This window comes from Homo sapiens, chromosome 3 (genome assembly GCF_000001405.40).
Source record: "Homo sapiens chromosome 3, GRCh38.p14 Primary Assembly".
NCBI lineage: Eukaryota > Metazoa > Chordata > Mammalia > Primates > Hominidae > Homo > Homo sapiens.
Genome location: NC_000003.12, coordinates 151,918,993 through 151,928,422, shown reverse-complemented (window position 1 = coordinate 151,928,422; position 9,430 = coordinate 151,918,993). Strand labels below are relative to the sequence as shown.

Below are 9,430 nucleotides of genomic sequence, written 5' to 3'. Positions count from 1 at the left end.
TGGCGGGCTGCCGGTCCCGAGCCCTGCCCTGCGGGAAGGCAGGTAAGGCCCGGTGAGAAATCGAGCGCAGCGCCGGTGGGCTGGCACTGCCGGGGAACCCAGTACACCCTCCGCAGCCGCTGGCCCGGGTGCTAAGCCCCTCATTGCCCGGGGTCGGCGGGGCCCGCCCGCTGCTCCGGGGGCGGGGCCCGCCAAGCCCACGCCCACCCGGAACTCCAGATGGCCCGCAAGCGCCGCGCGCAGCGCCGGTTCCCGCTCGCGCCTCTCCCTCCACACCTCCCTGCAAGCTGAGGGAGTGGACTCTGGCCTTGGCCAGCCCAGAAAGGGGCTCCCACAGTGCAGCCGTGGGCTGAAGGGCTCCTCAAGTGCCGCCAAAGTGGGAGCCCAGGCAGAGGAGTCGCCGAGAGCGAGCGCGGGCTGTGAGGACTGCCAGCACGCTGTCACCTCTCAATAACGCCCATCCCAACGTTTCCTGAGGAATAATTTTGGTCGTGTTCCTGCTACTCAGCTTTTCGTGGTTCCTGCTCATTTTCAGAGTCTAACATTCCAGCTTTTCCGGAAATTCTGTGAGTATACAACAAACTTTGACAATTCCTTTTGGATTTAACTCATCTGAAGTTAGTTTTGGTTATACTCAGTGAAAAATTTTGGTAGTAGTTACATGGCTCGAATAAAGAAAATAGACTTTGCTTTCTGGGTCTGGGAATAACCAGTGAACATCTTTCTGAGCATCAGTTTCTCATGCATAAAATTTAGGAAAGAAAACCTGAGGGAGGTTAGCTGAATCACTTCTCTGCTTTGCAGAGTCAGATTCTATAAGAAAATGTTATAACATGGAGAAATTTGCCCTTTTCTGTTCTCCTCAAGCCCCCAAAATATTTGTCTTCTGATAAAATGTAAGGAGAAAGAAGAGGCAATAAAAGCAGAAAATGAAAAAAAAAAAAAAAGGCCAAACAAATCTTTATTTTGTTTTGATAGAAGCCCATGAAATATAGCAAGTTGGTTTCAATTTTCTGAAGCTTTGCACAATCAATTAGTTAATCTTAATCACTGCCTATGGAATTCAAACATGCACAATTCCAAATTTTTACACATTCTCATTCATTAAAATAAAGGCAGAAGCCAGGCGTAGGTAGAGTGATATTTTTATGAAGCACAAGCCTTGTAATTTTCCAACATCTGTGGGGAGTTAAAAAACAATCGCTACGATCGCTTCAGTTGCTCTGAAGCTGGTAATATGTGAGTCATGTTTAGGTGCTTTCTGGGCCCTACAAAATCATCAGATAGATTTTCAAATGTGTTTGCAGTAAGAGCCGCACCTCTTTTTTTCTGGGCATGGAAAAACCATGTAAAATAGATCTCAAAGAAGCCAGCATTGTAAGCAACAGGCACATAGTTTATTTTTAGAGACTGGGTTACCATTAGCACATATTTGGACACTTTTTAGTCTGACTCAAATATACAAAAAACACTTTACTAATCATTTATAGAGCAAGTTCGCTGTCTCCACCCTACCCAGAATATAAAATATAAAGATTCTAATAATAGGGGTACACTTAATAAATGTATTGATGGGTGTTTCTCTTTCAACACAATTAATTTGCCCTAAGCAGTGTCTAGTTAATGAGGTCTTAAATTGTCAGAATAAATAGGTGTGCTCTGCTCTAACTTCAACACGAGGCCATGGCAGACATGGCTCTTTTCAGCTACCTAAGTTTACTTTCAACCATTTTCCTACCCATGCAGTGTCCCTTTACTGAGAATTGGTCGTGGACTTCCAGCTGTCTGTTTCCTCCCGAAGAGGCCAGCTATCTTGCTGCACTAATGATTCCTCCTTTGTTGGAAGCTGACTCTATACTAATAAAGAACTGCTGGCAAACAACTGTAATTAAGAAATTTAAGCTTGAGAGAATTAGGATGAGGCAGTGTAATTCCTCGTTATCTTTGAGCATTTTTGGAAGGCATGAGGTACTTTTTGTTTCTGGTTAAAACCGAAGGAAACATTGAATAAATTCCTGCCTTCCACATAATAAAAAAAGGTGTATATTTGGACAGGCTTTATTCTTAGTAGTCACTTCATTTAGATCCTTACTTTTAAAATGTTTCTAATAGGGAAAAAATACTTTCATTCAACTTTTCAAACTAAGAAGTAAGATGGCTGTGTCCCTGAAAGATGGTACATTTATTTAAACTAAAGTTTTACATACATTTAAGTTATACATGACTTGTATCTTATTATTTTCTGAAGGTGGGTTAGGATAAAAAGAAAAGAGGTAAAAGAAAAGAACATTAAGACAAGAGTTTTAAAAAAAAATCTCAGGAGTCTAGTAGGAAGCATGATTCATCCATAAAAAACCATGAGGCAAACAAGTCTTTCAGGAGGGAGCTGTGAGCTGCCTTGAGGCTTATCCACTAGCCACACAGAGGCTGGAGCTGTAACTTTTGTTTTAATGAGGGTTTCTTGGTCAGGCTTAGGTTGACGTCCAAAAAATACATCGGGGAAATCTTGGCAAATAGAAATTCCAGTAGGACTTTTGTTTATGGTCTCTCTTTACTTCTAGTATGTGAATTCCTCGAGGGTAGGGTGTTATTCACTACTAGATCCCTAGCACCTGAAAAGTACCTGGTGCCTGAAAAGGACTGAAAAGGGCAATTATAGGAAGGGAGGGAGAGAGGGAAGGAGGGAACAGAGAAGGAACGGTGTTCCATTGAGACCCCCTGGAGGAAGAAAATCTGGGTTGTGTGGCTTTCAGTAGTTCAATGAGCACATAGCTGTCTTTAAGCCTCCACCTGTGGTGTGTACAGATTCATAACACCCCAACGGCGCATGGTTATGAGATCACCGAAGCCACATCCTCTAGGTTGACAAAGTTTATCCCAACATGCTCACTCTCTCCAAAGCTCTCTCTGACTTTTAATTTACCTGCCACTACTTAATTTCTCCTTCTTGGATTGCTTTGATATTTGTGCATCTCTCATTATGCTGCACTTTGACTTGTATTTGGCTGCTGGTTCTCAACTGAGGTCCTACCTTTATTCCTGAAATTTACCACAGGGCCTGCAACTGGCCTTTAAGCACCAACTCTGCACAAAATCTGTGACTACCTAGGTGTTTCAGGTTGGGCAGCAAACATTTATTCTCAAGTATTCCCCGAGTCTGGTCACTGCTTGACCTTGCCGAGTCCCGTGTTCACAATGTTGTCGAAACCTGTGGGTGAGATTGAGTCTTCAGAGGAAAGAACTAAAGAATTCACGAGGAGCTAGCAACAGCAGAGACTGACTGAAGGGGAAGAGAGTGGAAAGAAAGGATTCATGGAATCTGGGAACACAGAAAAGGGAATGGGAGTGAAAAAGCTCTATATACTTTAAAGTCTGACCCTGAAGTTGTCCCGTTGCGAGTGCTGACTGTACCAGCCTGTAATACATTTAGAGAGATGCACAACTGTGCAAACAAAGCAAATTGCAAACCAGTTTTAGTAATTTCTCAATAAAGGGATTACCCTGTAATTCTCTGTGAACCTCCTATTTTGCAAGCCCAAAGGGAAAACAGTTTTTTCTAGACACATCTATTATGCTTGTCCCTCAGCTAGCAATAAGGGATGCTGCCCTTGCCTTCAAGTCCCTGCTGAGCACCACAACCATGCTCAATATCCTCATCCGTAAAATATGGTCAAAAGAGTGTCTGCCTCACACATTGTAATTGGGATTAAATGAATCAGGTCTAGAGTGTTTAGGAGATTGTCTGGTACATAGTAAGCATCTAAGACGTGTTAGCAATAATATTGACAGTAATGATAAGAGATGACATGATGGTGATTATGATGGTATTAACACATCATTGGCTGTGACTGATTGGACAAGTAACGCTTTTATCCAAAGGCTACCAATCCAGAAGCTGCATGTTGTCTTACAGTTCCTCTGGCTGGTTGCAAAAGATGAGCTAGGCCAGAGTCCTCTCAAAAAACCAACCAACTGTGGCCAAAAAAGTCATAGGCTGGGATGGACATTGTGTGGCATTGTGAAGGTTAAAATTGGGAGGCAAAAAAGTATTTAAAAGAAGAGTGAGTAAAAAAGAAGAGACATTGTAAAAAAAAAAAAAATCACTAAGAAACAGAGACACTTAGTAAGAGAGCCCAGAGTACCCAGCCAGCCCCTGCCTATCTTTTAATTCTGCTAGTCTCACTACCAGTTTCTTAAAGGTCTCCTAGATTCCAACCATAACACTCAACTTTTAGTTTTAAATTCATCTGGGCTTGAGTATTCTTTGTCTCTTGAGCCTAAAGAATCCTGACTAGATTAAAAAATACTTTTTATAGCACAATTAATCATACTACAAAAATGAGTCAGATATCATCTGGCTGCAAGACTTCCTTTCAACTATCGTTTACAAATTTTAAAGCATAGCAATTATTGCAAACACTGATGAACAGATTTAGCTCTGTATGAACATTGGAATTTCCATGGATAGGCATCCTATGCAACTTTATTCTCTAGGCCATTATAAAGAGATTCTTAAATGTCAGTGATAAGAGCCAGTAACTGAAGTAGCAGAGGAAAGTGTCAGGGAGTGCAAACTCAAATGTCTATCGAGAAAATTCATGCATATACTGGGTGTAATACAATAGAGTGTGGTAGGAATTTTGCCAAAATAAAGAGGTCTGCCATCCTGCACTCCTCCCCAAGACAGACATTTCTCTTAAGATCAGTCTTCTCTTGATGGGTGGAAATAAGTTCCCAGTTAAAAAAGCCAAAAATGTAGATTTTTAAAATTGAAAATCTTCTGATTTTTAAATGTTAAAAACTGATTTAATTTTTTCTAATAAAATATCTGACCTCCCAAAAAATGTATCTACAGAACAAACTTTATTTGAGGCTGCCAGTTTCTGCCCTCTGATATAATAGCATGGGAAATAGTCTATGGTAAAGAACCAGATGGTATACAACTTATCATATTTCCTAAATCCACATTCTACTCTGGTTATACTGTAAAAAGACAAGAGAGAGGAGACTTTAAGACTTTTTGTTAGAGGGAAATAAAAAATGCATATCAACATTCGCCCAAAAGATTCAAAAAAGTCTTAACATTATGATCACAAAATTGTGGATCCTGGTGATTAATAATGCATACATATATTGGGATAAAGTCACGTGGAGTCCTCCAGGACACCTGTATGTCATTTTGCAGTTGTCCTCCCCATCATTTACATTTCATCAACAATATCTAGGAAATCATAATATGTAGGTAATTTTCAAAACTTAAAAAAAAATTTCTAAAAGATTAGGATTAAACCCTTGGCTTTGGAGTTGTATTTAAGCATACTCTTTGATGATGGAAAGAAAGTAGTTTAAGTGATGTACATGTATATTTTAGTAGCCCTGGAATAATGTGTTCTAGGTGTTATTTAAAAAAAAAATTCATGGCTAACCAAATTAATTGAAATAGGATTGACTAGATTTGGTTTGGTTTTGATGAAGCACAAAATGTTCTTTAAAGAGAAACTTCACCGGATACAGGGCACAGCTTTCAAATCATAATCCAGTGACAGTCTTCTTTGTATCTACTGTAATTGTCCTCATTTATTTTCAAAGGACTACTTAGACACCTCTGTGAAATGTCAATCTATTATATTCCATCTTTTGCTCTAAGTTATTCAAATCTAAAGCAAAGTGTTTTTAATGGAGAGATTACCTTCCTTCCACATCCTCTCACTCAAAACTTGTCCATCTAATAAATGCCAGAGACAAAAAGGTGAGAGATTCAGTTACTGCTATTTAAGAACTCTGGATTTAGTATGAAAAAGTGCTTACTACTTCTAGTGTTAGCCCCACCATCTAAAAAACTTAGAAGTCGACCGGACGTGGTGGCTCATGCCTGTAATCCTAGCACTTCGGGAGGCCAAGGTGGGCAGATCCCCTGAGGTCAGGAGTTCAAGACCAGCCTGGCCAACATGGTGAAACCCCATCTCTAATAAAAATACAAAAATTAGTCAGGTGTGGTGGCACACACCTGTAGTCCCAGCTATCAGGAGGCTGAGGCAGGAGAATTGCTTGAACCTGAGAGGTGGCGGTTGCAGTGAGCCGAGATCATGCCACTGTCCTCCAGCCTGGGTGACAGAGCGAGACTCCGTCTCAAAAAAAAGCTTAGAAGTCATCACTCCTATCCTTAAATAACAAAAAGCTGAAGAAACTAAGAATCAACAACTGTTCTTAGATCTATCAAAGAACTAAGGTTTCAGAGCAACCTGCCACTGAAATCTGGACAGGCAGTGATAGGCAAAATAATGGCTGAAGAGAAATCCAAGTCGTAATCCTTGGATTCTATGAATATGCTATATGACAAAGAAAAGAGGAATTAAAGTAGTAGATGGAATTATGGTTGCTAATCAACTGATATTTAAACAGGGAGATTATCCTGCAATATTAGTTGGACCCAATATAATTATAATGGTCTTCAAATTTGGAAGGGGTAGCAGAAGAGAACTATTGTGATACCAGTTTGAAAAGTGCTTGGCCTTATATTAATGCATGGAAAACGCAAGAAAATGAATTCTCCCTTAGAGCATCCAGAAGGAACATAGCCCTGCTGACTAATTGATTTTAGCTTGATGTAAACGATTTCAGACTTCTGACTTCTAGAATTTTAAGATAATATATTTGTGTTGTTTTAAGACACCAAGTTTGTAGTAATTTGCTATAGTGGTCAGTAGAAAAAGAATACATACGTGAATCCAGACAGTCACAGTGGAGCAACTTATCTGGAGCAGAAGCCATTAGCACCATAAGCTGGCAGAAAAACTAAAATATTAATTTTAACAAATTCCTAGAGGTTGAGTATGGATTATTTGAGAGCAAAAAACTCCTAGAGGTCCCAATCTTAGAGAGGCTTCAACAATTTTATGGGTTTTTACCTCTGGGAACCCCTCCAGGTTCTCATGGTAAATATTCATGAAAGTTTCCCTTGTGGCACTAGCAGGGGAAAGAAAAACTAGTCAATGTAAAATATACCCACAGCCTCCTCCATAATGGACTACGCTGCAGATAAAAGGACTTTACCTGAGCCTTATCCAAGCTGGAAAAAAGCATTCCTCCCACTTTAGTTCCCTCTAGTGTTTCTGCCCCAACTAAGAGGGTACAAAAACTATACAACCGGAGAAATGCTTATGAAAGTCACAGCCCACAGACACAGGCTGACTAAAAGTGTGCGTTTTCATCCTAAGTATATAGAAGGCATCCCCTCACTGACACTTTACCACCACACCAGCAGGACTGCAATATAGTAACACTGGATTACATCGGAAAGAGCTGCAAGATGCAGACTCTCTGTGAGGAGGAGTACTTAGGGAATCCTAAAGTCAAGAAAGAAGACAAAAGCAAGGAGACTAGAAGAACATGAAGCCTCTGGCACCCACAGCTACAGCTGAGATTAAACACAGCCTAGATTCCAGCCAGATTAATGTAAATCCTGACAGTAAAGGACAGTTTATCTCAGTTATAATTACCCAATGCAACATGTTTGGCTTTCAGCAAAATAATTACCCAATGCAACATGTTTGGCTTTCAGCAAAAACTACAAGATGTACAAAAAGGCAAAACATGCGTGTACGCATGTGCGCACATATACACACTCACACATACACAGTCTGAAGAGACAAAGCAATCATAAGACCCAGACTCAAATGTAACACAGATGTTCGAATTTCAGACAGAAAATTTAAAATACCTATGATAAATATGTTAAGGGTTCTATATTTGTTAGCTAGGGCTGCCATAACATAGTACCATAGGCTGGGTAGTTTAAACAAGGGAATTTTATTTCGCTCTGGAGGTTAGAAGTCCAGGCTCAAGGTGCCTTCAGGTTTTTCTTCTTCTTAGGCTTGTCGCCATGACTCGCAGATGGCCACCTTCTTGCTGTGTCCTCACGTGATTTTTTCCTCTGTCTGTGTGCATCCTTAGTATCTCTGTGTGTTTGAATTTCCTCTTCTTATAAGGACACCAATCAGAAGGAAAGAGATAAAACTGTCTATATTCACAAATGATATAATTTTCTATTTTAAAATACCAATGAAATGACAATAAATTCCTGTAATTGATAAGTGTATATAAAAGGGTCACAGGATAGAAGGTTGAAAGTCAATTGATTTCTTATATACCAGCAATAAACAACTAAACATTAAAATTAGAAAAAGAGTCCATACCATTTACAGTAGCTCAACTACACAGATATAAATCTAATATAATATGTATAGAAAATGTGTGTAGGAAATGACAAAATATCAACAAATAAAATAAAGAAGACAAAAACATGGAGAAAGATGTGTTATATGTATATACAAAACACATATATATTTTCTTACTCTACAATCAGCAATCACATTCCTAGGTATTTACCCAACTTGTTTGAACAAACTTATGTGCGCTCAAAAATGTGCCCATAGTTGTCTATGAAAGAGAAACTCGTTACTCTATGTTTTTTTCTACACATTAGAAAAATTTGAACCATCTACAGTAGTCCCCACTTATTCCTTGTTTCACTTTTTGTTGTTTCAGTTACTCATGGTCAACTGTGGTCCAAAAATATGAGCTATTTTATTATATTTTACATGTAACTCTATGTGAACAATTGGAGGAAGTACTGGTTTAGGCCAGTGGTTCTTAAAAAGTGGTCCCAGAACCAGTAGCATCGTCATCTGGGAACCTGCTAGAACATCAAGTCATTGGAACTCACCCAGAGCTACTGAATCAGAAACTCTGGGTATAGGCCCAGAAACGTGTGTTGACAAGACTTCCAGGGGACTCTGATCAGCGAACATGTGAACAGTAGGAGGTTTCAGCAAAAGGAAAGCTCAGGATAGAAACCTTGCACCAACATGGGCTGTCTTTTGGTGTGAACATATATAGACATGTTTTTGTGCTTCCCTGGGGGTGCTGAAGAAGGCTGATGAGAGCCAAGAACCAGCAGGCCTGGAATGGCCCACAATGGTGAGGAGTAAATGTGCCAAGAGCAGAAACTGCAAGTAATCTCTTAAACTATGGGCTGGTGGAGGAGAGCATGACTGAGACTCAAGGTGTATTAGTTTGTTCTCACACTGCTAATAAAGACATACCTTAGACTGGGTAATTTATAAAGGAAAGAGCTTCAATGGACTGACAGTTCAGCATAGCTGGGGAGCCTCACAATCATGGTGGAAGGCAAAGGAGAAGCAAAGGCATGCCTTACATAGTGGCAGGTAAAAGAGCTTATGCAGGGGATCTCCCATTTATAAAACCATCAGATTTCGTGAGACTTATTCATTACCACAAGAACAGTATGGGTGAAACTGCCCTCATGATTCAATTATCTCCATCTGGCCCCACCTTTGACACGTGGAGTTTATTACAAGTCAAGGTGAGATTTGGGTGGAGACACAGCCAAACCATATCACAAGGGGTT

At 40.1% G+C, this 9,430-nt stretch overlaps 1 long non-coding RNA gene across 2 annotated transcripts in view; it reads left to right on the top strand.

Annotated features, from left to right (window-relative positions):
- The first annotated feature begins 247 nt into the window (after positions 1-247).
- AADACL2-AS1 (AADACL2 antisense RNA 1) overlaps positions 248-9,430 on the top strand; it is a 176,997-nt gene continuing 167,814 nt past the window's right edge. For both annotated transcript variants that reach the window (NR_110203.1, NR_110202.1), the window contains exon 1: positions 248-566. This is a non-coding gene — a long non-coding RNA (AADACL2 antisense RNA 1). The remainder of the gene's footprint in view (positions 567-9,430) is intronic.